At 48.3% G+C, this 19,100-nt stretch overlaps 1 long non-coding RNA gene across 1 annotated transcript in view, besides 2 other annotated features; it reads left to right on the forward strand.

Annotated features, from left to right (window-relative positions):
• Window positions 5,602-6,171: an enhancer, noted in NCBI's record as "H3K4me1 hESC enhancer chr9:92254441-92255010 (GRCh37/hg19 assembly coordinates)". NCBI's record gives its function as "activates a minimal SCP1, AML or CMV promoter by ChIP-STARR-seq in naive H9 embryonic stem cells {active_cell/tissue: H9 hESC(naive)}" and the evidence as "EXISTENCE:reporter gene assay evidence [ECO:0000049][PMID:30033119]".
• The window catches only part of LINC03062 (long intergenic non-protein coding RNA 3062), a 79,977-nt gene continuing 66,735 nt past the window's right edge, over window positions 5,859-19,100 (forward strand). The window contains exon 1 of the long non-coding RNA NR_024280.1: window positions 5,859-6,055. This is a non-coding gene — a long non-coding RNA (long intergenic non-protein coding RNA 3062). The remainder of the gene's footprint in view (window positions 6,056-19,100) is intronic.
• Window positions 14,461-14,970: an enhancer, noted in NCBI's record as "H3K4me1 hESC enhancer chr9:92263300-92263809 (GRCh37/hg19 assembly coordinates)". NCBI's record gives its function as "activates a minimal SCP1, AML or CMV promoter by ChIP-STARR-seq in naive H9 embryonic stem cells {active_cell/tissue: H9 hESC(naive)}" and the evidence as "EXISTENCE:reporter gene assay evidence [ECO:0000049][PMID:30033119]".

The raw sequence follows: 19,100 nt of genomic DNA on the forward strand, positions 1-19,100 counted from the left end.
GTAATTAGAGGTCATTAAGGTGGGCTCTGATCTAATGATTGGTATCCTTATAAGAAAACAAATAGACAGATGTACAGGGAAAACAGCCAAGTGCAGACGGGCCAGAGATGGGAGGGTACATGGACAAGCCAGGGAATGCCAGGGACCGCTGACATGGGCAGGAGCTAGGAGGAGGCACAGAAGGGTCCCACGCAGAGTCTCAGAGGGAGTGTGGCCCCGCAGACCCCTGGGTTTCTGACTCCAGGCCTCCAGGACCATGAGACAATCTGTTTCTGTTGTTTGAGCTGCCCCGTGTGTGATACTTTGTTATGGCAGCCCTAGCATACCACACACACCCCATGGTATGACACGTCCTTGTGCTCTCCTGGGCCACGGTTATACCCGCTGTCACGGCCACCCTATCAGCGCTTCTCTTCCTGTGCTCGGTGGGTCACTGGATGAAGTTAAACCCAGATGCCGAGTGCTTTCTCTCCACGCGGCCCAGCTACCTGCATCACTTAGCTCATCTTTACAATGACAGGCTGGGGAGTATCATCATCCCCACCTTGCAGAAGAAGAAATGGAGGCTCAGGGGCAGCTTAGTGACAGATCCTTAGAACTGCCCAGGACTGCGCAGTCTTGTATGCAGTGTGATTTACCCAGTTAACGTTTATGCCCTCCTTTTGCTTTCTCTGTGAATACACAAGATTAAAAAAAATTTAAGACAAAATTAAATGCTCTGGTATCCAATCTCTTGGCTCCTACGCTCTGCTCATCAAGATAAGTAGACACTGCACACACTTCCGAATTCATCTTTTACAACATTTCCAGTAGGAAAAAAATGGATTGAATCATACATAAATTAAAATGTACCAGCAACAAAACAAAACAATAAATTTGTTTATATCCGTATCTCTGGGGAAAGTTTCCAAAGACAGAACCTAAAGCTGAGCTCTAATATTAACAATGGGTTTGTAAACTCAAAGTCAAGGATTACTTTGATCTAATGCTAAAAAGTGGGAGGACAAAGCCCAGGGTGTTCCTGGGCAAACTTGGGAATGATATGCACAGTGGGTGTGAGCAGTATTCCATAGTGAAGGCCAGGCCATGAAGCCACCTACCAAAATAGCAACACACTTTCCAGTAACCCCAGTTTCTTTAAAAGCAGTGTAATACCTAAGTCCCACAATTATGGTTGAGAAACTCTCCTGCCCCACTGTTTTTCCCATTAAAGCTGTGCCTCTGCCGTGTCCATTAGTCATTTGGCATGTTCTGAATAGAACAGAGTGAGTCAATTTAAACGAGCGCAGGAGGCAAAATCTTTCTTTTCCATAGTCAGCTCAGAAGAGAATTTTTTCCTTTGTTACTGTTTGTTGTGGAAAGGAGGTGTGTGGGAGGAGTTGCTGTGGTCAGTCTTTAGATAGTACCTAGTTGAAAACAGAACGTTCTTCAGAAGGCAACCCTGCAAGGGCAACTTTGTGTGGAGAAGCAGGACCGGAGCCACCCAGAGCCCTTTGCAGGAGCTGGAGGATCGTTGCTGGCCTGGTTTAGCTAGGAAGTGACAGTCCAAATGGCTTTGAACAAGCCAGCTCAGACACACCAACCCATAGCCTGGGTTGTACCCAGCCATCTAGTCTACCTGCCATTTAGGTAAGATAAAGGCAGGTGGCTTAAGCCAGACTGAGAGTGTCTCCAGGTGGCCAGGGGTGCTCAGCATTGCTTTCCCCTGGCAGCCAGCCCAGGGTGCCACTTGAACAGCAGCCAGCCCAGCAGATCACCCGAGGGTGGAAGGACCTAGTGTTTGTGGGTGGCATCTTTTAAGAAAAACACAGTCAGGAAGGTTCTGGGATTTTGGTCAGTGCCATGCATTTCAGGGTCCAGGCCATGGCTCAAGGCCCCCCGCAGCACCCTCATTCTGCTAAGCCATTACAGGTGCTAGCCACGTGTGCCCAGAGAAGCTCCAGAAGCCCATCGTGGCTGGGTTGCTAACGTTGGCCAACCACTGTTCACCTTGGGTGGCTCTGTAGACAGCTCCAGCTGCCCCATGTAAGAACCAGGGCAGTCCTCCAACCATGCCAGCTGCCATTCATGTAGAGACGGTAGATATGCACGGCCAGTGCTTCACACAGATTGCTCTCCCCCTAGCAGCTGCAGAGATATGCTTGAAATTCACTCAGGCTGCTCAAGGGTGAGCCATGGTTCCTGGATGCATGGCCCAGGGTCCACTCAGATTTTTTTCATTTGACTCACCAAGGTAGAGGAATTCAACATGCTTCTCCATTCTTGTATAGCCTCCCTTGAGAATCAACCACAAACTAATCTCTGATGACTGTAGATAACAAGTAGTACACATTTGGGACCAAGAATGAAAGAAATACAAAATATAAGATGCTGATAGATTCCTTTGCACCTGGCCATCCGGTCTTGGCAGTCACGCCTTGCTTGACGGAGCCCTAACACCTTACCGGAGCTCGAAAACCCACCTAGCAGGGACTGGATCTTCCAGAAATGGTGCCACATCTGCTACCATCTTTGCCACATGTAAGAATCTCCCATTCCACAGACATTTGCCAAAACCCTCCTGAGCAAAGGGCTGAGGGTCTGTCTTGCCTGCCCCCTGGGAGCCCACCTCTCCAGGGCTCCAGGAAGCCCCCGCTCCCTCAGGAGAGATGCAGTAGGCCCACCCCAAGCGTAGGTTCCTGGAATCAGGGATCTCTTCACTGAGTTATAGGATGCCTTTGCCTTATGGTCAGGTATCTAGCTGCTACTTTTATGCTGATTAGCTTCCTAATAGAAATAAGTCCCTGAGATAGATTTATTTTTTTAATCCCCAATTTGTGACAAATACTCATCATTAAAGAAAACATAGGCCTTTTCCACAAATTTAAAAATACACTAAAAAAATAGGCTGGGCGCCGTGGCTCATGCCTGTAATCCCAGCACTTTGGGAGGCCGAGGTGGGCGAATCTCTTGAGAACAGGAGTTCGAGACCAGCCTGGCCAACGTCGTGAAACCCTGTCTCTACTAAAAATACAAAACAAAACAAAATTAACAGGGCATGGTGGTGGGCACCTGTAATCCCAGCTACCTGGGAGGCTGAGGCAGAAGCATCACTTGAACCCAGGAGGTAGAGACTGCAGTGAGGCAAGATTGCACCATTGCACTCCAGCCTAGGTAACAGTGCAAGACTCCATCAAAAACAAAATACACTAAAAATAATTGACCTGAGTTTAAGGAAATTAAAGGAAGTCAGTTCTGCACTTGCAGGTGCTTGTTCTCTATCACATGTGGGCTCTGTTGTACCTTGCAGCAGCCCTAAGAAGAGGGGAGGTTTCAGAAGATTTTAATGACTATCCCAAATGAGTGATTTTCCAAGAGCCGGCTGCGGGCTTCCTTCCCTGTCTCTCACTGCTGAGCACCACGTGTTCTAGGGGCTGTGTGTCTGGGGGCTATGTGTCTATAGAGCTGTGTGTCTGGGACTGTGTGTCTGGATGTCTTTTCATTTGGAGCAGGTGTTTGCCTCATCCCCTCCCAGGTTAGCAGAAGCCTCGCAGGACTCTTCTCTGTGGCCAGGCCCATCATCTGCACCAGAAGTCCATCTCCGCATGCATCCTGTCCCTGGCCTGTCACTGCCTCAAGTCTTTTTCAGTTATCTCAGTAGAGGTGGTTTGAACTGGGTTCAAATTGATCTTCCACAAAGCTGGAAGCTTCACCAGGGGCTGGGGGTCAGGACTCAGATCCCAGACAAGTTTAACAACAGATACCTGTGTTTCAAACCTGTCTTCTGCTGGGCCCACAGCTTCCAGTTTTCCAAGCACCCCACCCCTCCCTATTGTCCACATAGGCTTCATGCCTTTGGGCCCAGCCAGTGAAGGTGTTAGGACGTGCCATCCTCTAAATCTGAACTAGGTGGGCATCATGAATCCAAGTCAGTCCAGAACCATGGCCCATGGACGGGCAGGTACCAGGGGGGCTCTGGGGTGTGGGATAAGCAGCCTTGTCCATACAAGCGTGTGCACCAGGTGGGGCTTCCCTTTGTGTCTCTTCCTGTGGGCTGTGCCTCACTGGCCGAGCTCTGTGTGTGGAAATCCAGCCTCAGGTGACTCACCCACCCCCTCAGAGGGCCTGGAGCTCTGTGATCAAGACCTGCTCCTCTGCTCCGCTTCCCACCTCCCTGTCTGCCACTCAGCTCCCCAGGACCTCTGGGCAGGGTCCCCCTGAGACCCGGCATCCACTCTGGACACCACTGGGCTTGCTGACTCTTCACAGCCTTGTTCCAGACTGCATCTCTGCAGGACTTACTTCTGTATGGTGTCCTGGTGATCCAGCACTCCCTGCTCTGCTAAAATGCAGACTCCAGGGGCAGGCTCTTGTTTTGTCCTGGAAGAATTCTTGCACTGTAGGAGTGAATTCAACACAAGTCACAGCCAGCTTGCTCCATCTTAAAGGCGAGGAGCCCCAGCCCCAAGTCCTGAGCTCTTGCCAACCTGTTCGAGACCACACATTGACCCTGGAAGAGGAGGAGCAGGTAGGCTGGGATGTGCCCAGGGACTTTCTGAAGCCTCAATCATCCCAGTTATGACCTCCCCCTGCCCCTCCTTGCAGCATCCCTCTTCATTCCTCGTGGAGAAGTGTGGGCTCCATAGAATGAACTGGCAAGTGTGCACTGTGTGGATGGCTCTGAGCAGCTGCCACCACCTGGGGTAGCATGGGCAAGGCAGACGACACAGAGTCTCCAGCCAGACCCCTATTACCAGCTGCCTGGCCTGGGACTAGCTATGTCACGTCTCCCTGCCTCAGTTTCTTCATCTGCACAGCGAGGATAATAACAGTGCTTACCTCTTAGGATTACCATGAGGCTCAAAGAAGGAAATGCAGAGAAAGTGCTTAGGACAGTGCTGGCCTTGTAGGAAAGACTCACAAATATTCATTGTTTCGTTGATGAGAGCAAGAAGTGCGCTTGTTACATATTCACCCAATAGTGTGGGGTGGAGGAATGAGGTACAGGTGGATACCCTCTTGGAGGACCTGCTAGCGTCTTACTTCCTCTGTACATGGATGGCAACACAGAGGCAGAAGTCTCAAGTTAACTTCTTTTTCGTTTCAAAGCATCTCATGACATTTAATACCCCTGCACTCATACTCGCCCGGAAGTGTGAGCTTGGTTCATCACTAATGGATATTTTCAGCCCTGCTGAGGAATCTGGGCCTGCTCCTTGCCTCCCTCACCTTCCTCTGCAGCCCATGTGAATTAGCCTGCTTGCCTGCTCAGGGACTGGTCCCCGCAGTGTGGCTCCTGGGGCCCCAGCTTCACTCCTTCAAGGGCCAGGATGTTGAAGAAGGGGGAAAGGGACCCCTACACTAGCCTGCCTTGTGTGGCCCAAAGACCCTTGCCAAGATCAGGTGGGGGTCAAAGTGCAGGAAAAGAAGGATGTCGATTTCAGAAGAAACTGTTGTGGGAATGGCAGGATGGCTCCAGCGTCAGCGTGCCTTCCTGCAGCTACCCCGGGGCCGCACGCCAGCAGCTCTTGGCAGCAGTCACACGGCTCTCGCATCCAACCTCTGCCACAGGGGAGCAGGCCTCACTTCCCCCAGCTTTGCTTCTCTGCCCTGCAGGGCTCCTTTCCTGTCCCAGGGAGCTCTACTTTCCAAGCAGTTCCATGGCCAACAGCTGGAGTCTTATTTTAGGGACGAGCTGGCAGCCCAGCATTTGTACTGAATGTTCCGGGTCGGCCTGGCCCGCGCCTGGTGCACCAGTGGGAACCCCATAAGTCTGGGCTTGGGGGAGTGAATTACTTCTGAGGTTTGCTGACATTCTGTTTGGCTGCCTGAAATGCTTTCTCTTCATTCAAAGAGCAGCTGCTGGTCTCCGCCCCTCTGTCTTTCCTTTCTCCTCCCGGTGGCTTCCCTGTTCCTGTCCCTGGCTTTCCTGGCTTTTTGGATCCCCATCCTGGCTCTGGGGGGAAGGAGGATGGGTCTGGAGCACCTGTGAGACCCGAGCCTGGGCCCACCACAGCAGAGGATGCAGCCTCCCAACCCCAAGAGTCCCAGATTGGAGTCCCTGAGAGAAGCTGGGGTAGGTGAAGTGGGCTCTCAGTCTGGGTGTTATCTTGGGAGGAGCGTGGGTCTCTGGGACACACTGGTAAGATGTGCTCCACTTGACCCTCATCATAACCAAGGGTCTGTTGGTGGGCTTTTGCCTTTGGTGGCCCCAGGGCCCCTGCCTTCTGGCTACTGCCATCCGTGGGGGATGAGTGACGTCAAACTTCCCCTTCTCCGGGCTGTTGGCTAGAGTGGGGGCAGTGGGAAAAACACATCTATCAGGCAGTCCCACCCCTGCACAAAGGAGCAGAGACTGTGCCTCAGCCCCACATCCCTGCCTGGTGGGTACCACATCACAGACAGACACGTTCTTAGCTGGCTGTGTGCAGTCACTGCCACCTTGGGCTCCTGGGAGGCACCAAAGGCCCATTGTGGGCCCCTGAAATGACGCACCCACCACAGTCAGCTGCCATCATGCAAGGCACCGAATCTGCTGTCCTGGTGGGATGGGATCTCACTTCTGCCTTTCCTGTTCAGCCTCCCCGGGCTCCATGCGCTCTGTGGAGGCCATGGCAGGATATGTTGTGGGCAGCTGGATTTCCGGCCCTCTCTGGTAGAGTCAGAGGGGTTGCCTTTGACCAGCAGGAAAGGGATTCGAAGGCGGACGCGAGTGGGCCCTGCCCAACTCAGACTGAGGAGGAAGTTTCTGCAGCGCCGGAAGGAGAAGCAATGAATAGCCACTGTCTAGACCCTCCCCTATGACTCCATCCCCAAGGTGCTCCAGACAGGCCTGAGATTCCCCTCTTCCTTCCTAGCCACACCACCCCTGGTGTGAGCCAGGCAGGCAGCCCAGCCCTCTCCAGCCCCGGCTCCTGGTGGCAGGAGGTGCCTTCCTGGCTGTAGCAGGAAGAGTCTCCAGGTTATATGGCCGTGTCCCTGTGCCAGGACTCGGGGTAGGGGTACACTCTGTTCTGACCCCCCCAGGAAGTGAGTTCCAAAGGAGTCGGGCCTTTGGAGGAGAACTTGGTGGCTGTGCTTTTGACCTGGCATTGCAGGAGCATAAGCCCTGGTCAACTTGAGCGAAAAAGCCGGACCCACTGTCACCATCTCACAGGCTGTGTCGCATGCTCTGGCGGTGAGGGCCTGTTTCCCAGCCCTCCCTAGCAGGAGACTGCTCAGGGCAGAGCTCCTGAGATACTATGGGTTCCTTTGGGGTGGAAGAGCCTGTGGCCAGGTCAGTGAGGAGAACAGAGTGGGAGCATGAGGGTGGGCTGGAGAGGAGCTGTTTGTCCCGCCTCCCGACCCCGAGGAGGGCATAGTCCACAGGCTATTTTAGGGAGCAAGAACTGGCCAGTCAGAATGTGCCTGCGCCTCTCCCCAAGACAACAGCACCATCAAAGGGGAACATCTTTGTCTTGGGGGAGCCATGTGGAATTGTACCTAGAACAGATTGTGAACAGGGGTGCCTGTCAATTTACATTTATCAGGACTCGTTTCTTTTCCCTCCCAGACTTGCCCTGCAAATCTCATGGTGGGGTGGGGATCAAGGAGAAGAGGGCTTATCTTGACTTTCATGATCTTAGTGTTAATGACAGTTACCCAGGATGGAGGTTTTTAGCCCCTTTCTTGGCCCTAGACCCAATGACCCCTTCCATGATATTTTTCAAAGTCCAGTGAAGCAGTGGAGAGAGGAGTGAGGGGGAGGAGAAGAGAGAGACGGGACTCTGTTGGCAGACGCCCTGCTGTCTTCCAAGACCCTATATAGGCTTCTGTGGAGTTCTTGCAGCTGAAAGCTGAGTCCTTTGCCTGGGGCAGGGGTGGTGTGGATTCTTGGCCATCACACTCCTGGAACCCTGAATCTTACTGTTCCACAGTCACAGACCAGCCAGGCTCAGGACCTCAGAGCTGCTTGTGGGCCCATGGAAAGTCATACTTGCTTCCCGTCGGCGCTGGGCCTGCTGTCATTTTGCAGCTTCTGCCCTGCAAATTTAGAGTTTTAGAGTTTAGTTTTAGAGTTTTAAGTCTCTAAAACCCTCACAGTTAATTTTTTCTCTTCCTTTAATGACACCCAAAAGGGCACCCAGCATTATGCCTCGGGTGTTTGACCCGGCTGGATATGGGATGGAGAGCGTTTGGTGGGTCCTGGGAGGAGCTCAGGCCAGGTCAGGATTTACCATTGTTATTGATGCTACAGATAACAGCCTTGCCCTGAAGGCTTTCACAGAGTTTATCTCCTTTCTTGTTACTCTGATAGGGCTGGGATTGTCCACCACCTGCTCAATGAGGGCTAACATTGAGTACCCAGCGAGAGTGCTGTATTAAATCTTATCTTGGCCAGGCACTATGGCTCATGCTTGTAATTCCAGCATTTTGGGAAGCTGAGGTGGGAGGCTTACATGACCTCAGTTTAAGACCAGCCTGGGCAACATAGTGGGACCCTGCCTCTACCAAAAAAAAAAAAAAAAATTAGCCAGGCATGGTGGCACATGGCACATGCCTGTAGTTCACCTACTCAAAATGCTGCGATGGGAGAATCATTTGAGCCACAAGAAGCCGAGACTGCCATGACCCATGATTGTGCTACCATACTCCAGCCTAGGCGATAGAGTAAGACTCTGTCTCCAGACAAAAAACAAAATCTCCTGCTTGGTGGAGACCTCTCAGAGTGCTGGGGAAGGGGCTCCGGAGTCCATAGGCTCTATTCTCCTCTCCCTTCCCTCACTTCCTGGCTGTGTGAGTTTAGCTATATAAAATTATCTCAGGGTTAGTTTTAGAAGCCAAGATTTGCATGTTAGGCCCTAAAAAAGATTGCATTTTCAAAAGGCAGTCACATCAACCTACAAACTCTCTCATCAGCTTTTCTTGTAGTATGGCTTGACACCCCTCCACTGAGAGGTGAGCTCTCTGTTCTCTTCCCTGAGACCTGCTTCCCTCAGTAGACTGTGATGGAGGTCACCTTATGTGACTCGAAGCTGTGTCATAAAAAGTGATACAGATCACAGACGGCGCCTGGCCCGCAGTCTCTTGGTTTTCTCACTCTGTGGGAAGCCAGCTGACATATTGCGAGGACACTCAAGCAGCCATAAGGAGTGGCCGACAGCCAGTATGAGGGACTGCAGCCCAGCCCTCAGGGGATTCCAGCCAGAAATGCCTGAGTGAGCCAAGACCCACAGAAACCATAGAAATGTTAAGTCATTGCTGTTGTCTTCAGCCACTGAATTTTTTTTAATTTTATTTTTTATTTATTTTTATTTTTTTACTTAGCATGATGCCCTGAACAGGTCCATGGCAATAAGAAGAAATCATTATTGCCTTACTGAATTTTAGATTATAGGCAGACAGAAACTTCCTAACTCAATTGCTGAGCCTCATGCTTTAATTTACGAATAAAATTTCTGTTGTGCCCATTGACCATTTAGGTATCAACTTCTAAGGGTTTTTTCTTGTTTTGTTTTCTTCTGAGACCGAGTCTTGCTCTGTCACCCAGGATGGAGTGCAGTGTCTTGATCATAGCTCACTGCAACCTCAGCCTCCCGGGTTCAAGCAGTTCTCCTGCCTCAGCCTCCTGAGTAGCTGGGATTACAGGCGGCACTACCACGTCTGGTTAATTTTTGTATTTTTAGTAGAGATGGGGTTTCACCATGTTGGCCAGGCTGAACTCCTAAGGTTTTTGAATGTGGCTCTCCTGGCTCTGCTATCACTGGAAGTAAAACTGAGACAAAAAACATGGCTCCTCACCTACTCTTCAGCATACCTGGGCACCTGGACTTCTTATTTACTTCTCTCTGCTTCCAAACAGGAAGCTCTGTAAACAAGAAGAAAGGGACTGAGGACCCACAGGGTTGCCTGGACATTTGGAAAATAATTTTAAATATTTACACTTGATCTATAGGAGATTACACATTTGCTATGGAAAGCTTCAATTATTAAATGATCAGGTTCACTAGAGTAAAAACAATTATTCTCTGCTGAGAAAGTATTTTATATTTCTACTTTAAACTTTGCTCTGTTCTGGTTGAATGTGTTAGAAAGGAACACTTGTGCTTATTAAAGGAAATTGTCAGAAGAAAATGAAGGGGTTGAAATGGAAGGATGTCCTTGGATTTGGAGTTCCAATGAAAGAACATAAGTGCTGGATGCAAACTTCTAGTTGCGTGCACATCTCTGGGCAGAAAGGAGTTTGGTGCTAAGTGCAGGTGGAAAAGGGACTTCTATTTCCTGATTGGGGTGACTAGACCATTGTGAGTGTGTGTTCATCCATATTACCAGTGCATGTATTCACTCTTTACCCTCTTCTTCATGGGTTTCCAGCCTCTGCTGCAGGCCACCGTGGCCCTGGGATGGAGTTCTGCACAGAGGATGTGGGCGGATGTGGCAGCTTTTTAAATTCTCTGTGTCTTCCTTCAGGTTCTCTCCTCTCATTTGCTGGACAGACAAAGAGGGCCTGGAGACCTCCGAGGATATGGTGGTGACAGGGCCACTGAGGAGGGCAAGTCTGAGTCCCTGGAGGTTTGTGTGGATCACTCTTTCCCCCAACCTATGGTACACTGGGACAAAGGGATAAACAAACTTATAGCTTATTAGATCATTGAGAGTTAAGAGTTGTTTTCATAGGTGTTAACTCATCTTGGCTAATATACCTACAAACACCTTGGGGACAGGGGCACTTGTTAGTGTTCCTTGTCTTTGCAGAGTCTAGCTGGTAATGGGCACAAAGCTGTTTATAGAATGAATAAATGAGAGATAAATGTGTCTTTACTTGGGGCAGCATGGTGCTCTGCTTTTCTTTCCTTTTGTTTTCACAAGATGATGGAAAAAGAAAGTGCTGGGGTCAAACACTGCTATGGTCTGATGGTGTCCCCCCTAAAATTCGTATTAAAATTCATATGATGAAATTCTAACCACCAAAGTGATGGTGTTAGGATGGTGTTAGGGCATTTCAGAGGTGATGAAGTCATGGGCGATGAAGCCCTTATTTATGGGATTACTACCATTGTGGAAGAGGCCACAGTGCTGCCTTCCCCCCTCTACCATGTGAAGACACAGTGAGAAGTCATGGTCTATGAAGAAGGGGCCCTCACCAGTCACTGAATCTACCATTGCCTTGCTGTGGGACTTCCCAGCCTCCAGAACTGTGAGAAATACATTTCTGTTTTTTAAGAACCACCTAGTCTATGGTATTTTGTAATAGCAGCCGAAATGGACTAACATAGCACTCTAAATAGAAAAATGGAGACTTCCTAGCTCTTAGCATCTTCTTACTCATTTACAGAAGAATAAAGTCATCAAGAGTCATTGATGCCAGCATTGCCCTGGAGGGACCAAGGGAACAGGAACTTGTTTTCCTTGTGTTTGCCTTTCCTCAAACCTATCCTGTAGCTGCATCTGATGGTCAGAGTGGTATCATCTTAACAGTTATGCCTAATTGTTTTCATAAATAATCATATTTAGTAGGAAAAGAATAGCTGAGTCAGAAAGTTTTATATAATAATGTCCTTTAGTTGACTGTGTTCTTGGAAACTCTGGTTGTTCAGAATTGCAGACAAAAATCCTATCTCACCGGGAAAGAGCCTAGGTCAAAATGAAATTCCACATTAGTGTTAAATTTGAAAACTTGAAGTGAACACAAGCATATTGTATTAGTCTGTTCTCACACTACTAATAAAGACATACCCAAGATTGGGTAATTTATAAAGGAAAGAGGTTTAATTGACTCACAGTTCCACATGGCTGGAGAGGCCTCACAATCATGGCAGAAGGTGAATGAGGAGCAGTCACATCTTACATAGCAGCAGGCAAGAAAGCATGCGCAGGGAAACTCCCCTTAATAAAACCATCAGATCTCATGAGACTTATTCACTATCACAAGAATAGCACGGGAAAGACCTGCCCTCATGATTTAATTACCTCCCATGATTCAATGTCCCTCTCACGACACTTGGGAATTATGGGAGCTACAATTCATGATGAGATTTGGGTGGGGACACTGTCAAACCATATCACTTATCATTGAATATTTTGTGTGTGTATTTCCAAAAAGGTACTAAATTGTCCCTCCCCCATGCATAAAAATGTAACTCCAGGTACTTTCACCTCCAGGCTGCATGAGCCTGCTTAGAATCAGACAACCCACGAACATCCTCCATGTTCAACTCCACACATCACAGGTGGCTTTCATTGACAGCCAACAACCACCATGCTTTATTGAAAAAATATAGGAAGAGAAACATGCAAAATGCCGCATGGTACACAAGGACTGGAATATGTTTTTAGAAACTCGTGCGTTTCTTATTAGAACATAACAAGTAGATTTTCGACTCCTTAAATAACTTTATTATGGATCTTCCTGTCAAAGAGGGAGTTTTAAATGGAGATATTGATAGGCTCAATTATTTCCATATGGTATTAGATTTTCCTTCATTGTAGACCTGGCTATGTGCTGTGGTCAGCACATTTGTACCTGCCTACCCTTAGATGGATTTTGCTAGATTTAGTGGCTACAAACACCCAATTTTCATGAGTAGATTAGGAGGCTCTTTGAAAAATAGGGCTAAAATCCCCTACAGATGGAATCCAAAAGCATGCTTGTGTATTTATTTTGAGCTACCAGGACAATCTTGGGTATGTCCTTCTATCTCTGCAGTGTACAGGCTTTGACTTAAAGTTTTTATTGCACAAACACCATGCTGTGGATGTTTGAGTCTGCAAAGGACAGAGCGGGAGCCCAGCTGTAGCAAGCTGCATTTTCATTCTGAATGTCTAGGAGATTAGAATTTAATGTAGTTCACAGGAGTTAAAGTTTTCTTCCAAATCCTTTGACATGTTGTGGATTGTGGATTCCAAGTTTATGATCATGTTTATTAGCGCCTTCTGCATTCGTGCGGCAGATTTGCCTGTGGGAGAATGCTTTGCCCTTTCTGGTGGATAGACTTGTTTTTCTGAGGCTTTGGGAGGCGGGGGTAGTGGTGATGATGCTGGAGAGGTTGTGTTGCCCCAACTTTTCTTCCTCCCTGTCTCCTCCCAAGATGTGGGAGTCATAAAACCTGAGTTAAACTGAGTAAAAATGCAAAACCTCACCGCCTAGGCAAGATGCCTCAGAGCAGAGGTCCTGAGACGTCATTGGGGTGGGCACCCACATGGACTGATTTCAGGGACACGTGTGGTGGGTTGTGGCTTTAAAACGTAGTCTGAATTCTGTGATACTCCTCCAGTTGAGAGATGGGGTCCCCTCCTCCAAGCCCTTCGCAGTTGGTAACCCCCTGACTCCACAGCAGCCGAGCACAGGGAGGGCGGGCTGAGGCCTGGCTTGGTCCATGGCTCTCGTGGCTCTGACCTGGGATCATCTCCTTGGTTAAAGCCTTGTCCTACTGGGAGGCCGAGGCTTCTATCTGTCATTAGGGGTATAAAGGTCAGGTGGACAGTTCTCGGATGAGGGAGGGAAGAGACATAGAAAGTCAGGAGGAGAGGGCACTGAGGAGAGAGCTGCCCACCCCAGACCCAGCCAAGCGTCCCCACCTAGGACTCCTTCTGCCTGTGCTTGTGGACAACACAGACAGACGGAGCTGCACGCCCCACAGCGTTTTCTTTTCCTGGGTGGCTCAGCTCCTGGAAGCTCATCCATCTCTTGTGTAAGGAGGAGGTCTGACAAATGCCTTTTGCTTGGGAACGTGTGAGTCTGTGTTTGCGATGCAAGCCTGGGGCCACTGCTGCTGTTGCAGGCTGTGAAACACGGAGTGGCTGCAGGGGTAGGGGCTTTGGAGCTTCCTCTAAGAAAAAGAAAGGCGCCGAGTTCAGGGCTCTGGGTGGCCTCCAGCTCAGTGTCTGCTTTCATGGGATATGGTAACATGGAGAGCAAGACTGTCTGTTTGGAAGAAGCGAGCAAACTGTCCCCACACGTGAGAGAAACCAGGAGACTCAATTCCAGTCACAGGGAAGTGACCTGTCATAGCCCTGAGTCTGAGAAGGCGTCCAGTCAGGGACACACCAAGGCAGAGCTTGGGTGTGAGACCAGAGCAGGATGGACTGTCCTGTGCAAACACAGGGATGGGAACAGAGCTCTTGCTGGGTGAGACTTCCTGATAGAAGCACCCGGGAGGCCCCTCTTTACATCGTTGGACCCTCCCCCTTGTCTGTGCTGTGGGTCCCTCATGCTGCACCTCTGTGAGTGTAGTTGCTGGTATGAAACTGTCTGGGTGGTGGAGTGTGGCTGCGGAGAGCTGGAGGGACAGTTTTGGGAGAGTCAGCGCTGGGGGCTACTTTCCTTGCTGTGTGGGACCCAGTGCCTGGAGCATCTCCTTGAAGCAAACTTTTAATAAAATTCTTTGTATGGTGAGCTAATCACTCCTTCCAAAATGAGTCTGGCCGGATGTTTCCCTTCTCTGTCTAGGAACGGAGGAGCACATGTCTCTGCTGCAATACCCACATGTTACCAAAAAAAAAAAAAAAAAAATCAAACAAACGTGGAACTGAGTTCATGACACTTAGGCCCGTGTGCTTAGGGCAAAGGTCCGGATGCCTGTCCTTGTCTTTGAAGTAGGTACACAGCACGATGGACTGATGAGTGGGTGGACAGATTTGAGATAAAGCAGGTATGGCAAAATGTTCATGGTGCATGCACGCTGTGGAGTTCAGGATGCAATTCTTTCCACTTTTCTAGATATTAGAAATGTTCATAGTGAAACACTGGGTGATCTCAGAGCTGTGAGGCCCCTTAGGGTCACCCACTCATGTCTCCATTCTGCACTGAGCACACTGTCAGAGCACAGTACTGGAGATGGGACACCTGCCCTTTGGAAGGTGCATGGTGTGTATTCTTGGGAAGGACACCCTGTGGTGGAGGACGGGCTGCCTCCTGCAGGGCAGTCAGCAGCTCTGGCCCCCAGGCACTGACTCCTGGGAGAAGCCCTCAGTCACTGAGACAGGGCCAGACAGGGCAGATGAGGCAGTGCCACCCCAGGTCGACAAGTGCTAGTCTAGGCCTGGAAGGCCCAGAAAGGGCAGCCTGCCCTGGGGAGGGTACACAGCATGGGAGTGGCTGCCGCAACGTAGAGTCTGGGAGCCTGAGCCCCTGGCTGGACTTTTTGTTCATTCTCTTTCTTCTTATAAAACCAAATGGTGCTTGAGTCAGTCATTTAGGGCATTGTAGCAATTCTCTGCTCTGGGTACCACTGAATGTACTGAAAATCACCATGGTCGTGCTTTCTCTCTTCAAGTTTACGGAACTATGGGGGAGGCGGGGCGGTGTGTGTTTGGAGTTGTTTTTCCAGGAACTGTGACAGGTCCTGCTGATTCACACACAACAGAGAAGTATCTGATAGGGCTGCCAGGTTTATGGATGCAGCCTGTGACCTTGGAACGATGTTTTTAAATCTAAAATTACTGATCTAAGTAGTATTAAACCTCAGACTCCACCTGTTCCTAGTCGGAGCTCACAATTAAAGTCAGTTGACCAGATTTACCATTTGTGGTTAAGTCACTGTCAAAGCCACACACTCCTTGGGGGAGTGGGGGTTGCACTGTGACTGCTCCAGTGGCCGAGAGGGCCTGAGCTCACTGTTTCCAATGTCAAGCCTGCGTTTCTGTGGGGCCCCAGCCATTCCTCCTCTACAGCAAGACCCAGCCCAACTCACAGGACATTCAGCTACTTTCCATTGAGAGATATTTTTTCTTTGGGGAAATTTCTTGCCTCATTTTGGATCAAACTTTTATTTTAAATTAGTGGTGAGCTCTAAGCATCTTGGAGATCAATGCAGGAAGCTTCCCCCTTTGTTCTTGATATTTTACATGTACACGAAGCAATGGAAGGTGAAGCCTGCCTGGGCTCAGAATGACTGTACAGATATGGCAGTGATTTTGCTGTGGCTGAGGGAGACCCTGGGGCACAACTGTTTCCCAAGTTACTGCCTCAGTTTACCTGAAGTGATTTTAATTTGGCTCTGGGTTTACTCATTTAGATGCACTAAGGAAAGGTTTGCTGCAATTTCTGGTTAAAATTGGCACATCGATTATGTGTGTTTTTCTACATTCCCTCTGAATCATCACAAAATTATAGTAAATGAATAGGAAAAGATATCAATCCAAAGGGATGTGGATACCAGCAGATCAGACGTGTCAACACAATTTTGGAAAATGGAAAGTACATGGCTTAGCTTAGTTAATACCTGTGTATTTAGTTAATACACAGGTATTAACTAAAACCTATGTACCAGCAAGTTTGTGTGTGTGTGTGTGTGTGTGAGAGAGAGGGGGGTGGTGGTATTGGTATAACAAAGAAGAAAACCTATGGTTGTTCCAGTTACTGTTGATGCACAACAAACTAGCCCAAATGAGAATACACAAAGATCATTTTATCATCCCCACAGATTCTGTGGGTCAGGAATTCAGACAGAGCAGAGCAGGGCTACCTTATGTCTGATCCACTGTGTCAGGAGCCCCTGCTGGGAATACTCAAAAGCTAGACTCAGCTAGAGCTGTCAACAGAGTATCTCCTCGTGGCCTCTTCATGTGGTGGGGCTTCCTCACAGCATGGTGGCTAAGTGCGCAGAGGGAACATTCCAAGTCTCTAGGTGACAGCTGCTTGGCCTTTTCTGACCTAGATGCAGATGTCACATTGCCCTTCTTTTAACCATAATCTGTTGTTTGAAGCAGTCACAAGCCTGCCAGATTGAAGGGTCCATAGACCCTTACCTCTCAATAGAAGAGCATCGAGAACTGTGGAACCATGTTTTACAGCTGCAACAATGGTCACACGGAACCCCAGGAGACTTGCAATCAGAAGCACCAAAGGCCAGGGTGTGGCACAGCCACCCTGCAGAAGGCAGGAGAGTTACTCCTTGGAGACACTGACCCAGGAGGCTCTGAACTTGGAGATTCCAGTCGGAGTTGAGGACACAGAACCTAGATGGAGAGCAGGTGAATTAAGTGAAAACCTGCTTTCTGAATAGTCAGATCCCTCCCACTCAGCCCTCCACTCAGTTTTGGGAATGTTGCCACCAGGATTATGCCCGTTACCCAGAATGTCAAAGGATTCTTCTTTGGTGAAACTGAGAAACCAAAGAAAAATGACCTATTAATTGGCATAAGACCACCAGGTACCCATCTGATAAACCTACAGTGAAGTGATCCTATGACAACCTCTGGTCATCCACACTGAGCTTCCAGCCAGCCGACTGGGGCCTTAATTAGTGAAAGAGATGGCCCTAGACACCTGAGCAGCTGGGGAAAGCCTCTGTTGGGAAGACACAAGCACGCAAACAAACAAAACAGCAACAAACAGAAAAAAGGAACTCAGGGAAAGAAGTACAATGCATTAGAAAAACAAAGACAACTCAAAGAAAATGCAAAAAAACAAAGAAATAGCCAATGGTGAGATGTTAAAAAGATAACTTTTAAGGTATGTGAAAGAGCTCTTAGAAAAGAAAAATATGTGGCCTAAGTAAAAAACTCAATAGGAGTTTGAGAAACGGTGTTGAGGAACTCTTCCAGAAAGTGGAACAGAAAAACAAAGGGATATACAAGAAGAAAATTCAAAGACTATTCAAGGAGATACATCTGATAAAAGAGGAGTTCCAGAAATAGAAAAGAGAGAGAGAGGAAATCATCACAGACATTTACCAAAATGGAAGGAGGGGGATTTTTTAGGCTGGAAGAAACATGAAGTGCTTAGCGCAATGGTGGACAAATCCCCCCAGCCCCACATCAATGCATATCATCATGAAACTCAGGATACCAGGGATAATGAGACGATATTAAAGGCATGTTGGGGTGGGGAGTGGGAAGAGGCAGGGAGGGAGAGAGAGAGACAGGGAGAGAGAATAGGTTATATGCAAAGGATTTAAGATGAACTTGACCTCAAACTCCTGCTCAGCAGCTACGGGAATCAAACACCAGTGGAAAGATGCCTTCCACATCCTGAGGCGAAATGATTTGCATACTAGAATCTCATACTCAGACAAACTTTCAGTAAGGTGCAAAGCTCAATGGGTAAATTTGCTGCTAGAAAACTTGACTGATTGCCTATGAAAGTGGCCACATTTTCCTTGGTTTAGATTAATACAGAATCTTTCAGAAGATTCTGAAAGATCTGCAGCCTCATCTGGCATGATGTTTATCCCAAGTTTACAGGTACCTTCCTGACATCCTTTTCCCTTCAAGTGGCTTCCATGTCTGTTTTCCTTTATGGTCAAACTTCTTGAAAACATAGTATACATCAGTGCTTCTAACTTTTTTGGACCTCTTTTTTTTTTTGGACGGAGTCTAGCACTGTCGCCCAGGCTGGAGTGCAATGGTGGGATCTTGGCTCACTGCAACTTCTGCCTCCTAGGTTCAAGTGATTCTTCTGCCTCAGCCTCCCGAGTAGCTAGGACTACTGGCGTGTGCTACTACGCCCAGCTAATTTTTGTAATTTTAGTAGAGATAGGGTTTCACCAGGCTGGTGTCGAACTCCTGACCTTGTGTTCCGCCCGCCTCAGCCTCCCAAAGTGCTGGGATTACAGGCATGAGCCACTGTGCCTGGTGGATTGCTCTTAAGAATTGATAAAAGCGACAGAACATCTTTTAGAAAAGAAAAATGCATGTATACGTACATATGTGAGATTTTCCAGTTAACCTGGAAGGTCCACAGGTACACAGGCCACCTGCTCTTTCTCTTCTCACACCCAATTTTTACATGCACTGTCTTATTCAATTTTACTAACTACCTTCTTCTTATTTTTTCTTTTGTATTACAAAAGTAATATAATGCAGAAAAATAAAATCAAAGAGAAAGTCCCAATTTATCCCTATCTTACTGGATTATTCTCCCTCAGGTGTTCTGATTTATCCTCCAGGTATTTTAAAATTATGTGTGTGTATCTCTCTGTGTGTGGGGGGGATTCATGTATACATATAAAATAACTGCATATAAGCAATCGTATAGTGATATAGTGTGTTTTAAATAAAACCCATATTTTTAATAATCCTGTATAGATATCCTGCTATAGGTTGAGTATCCCTTATATGAAATGCTTGGGACCAGAAGTATTTCAGATTTTGAATTCTTTTGGATGTTGGAATATTGACATTATACTCAGTGGTTGAGC

The sequence above is a fragment of the Homo sapiens genome, chromosome 9 (genome assembly GCF_000001405.40).
Source record: "Homo sapiens chromosome 9, GRCh38.p14 Primary Assembly".
NCBI lineage: Eukaryota > Metazoa > Chordata > Mammalia > Primates > Hominidae > Homo > Homo sapiens.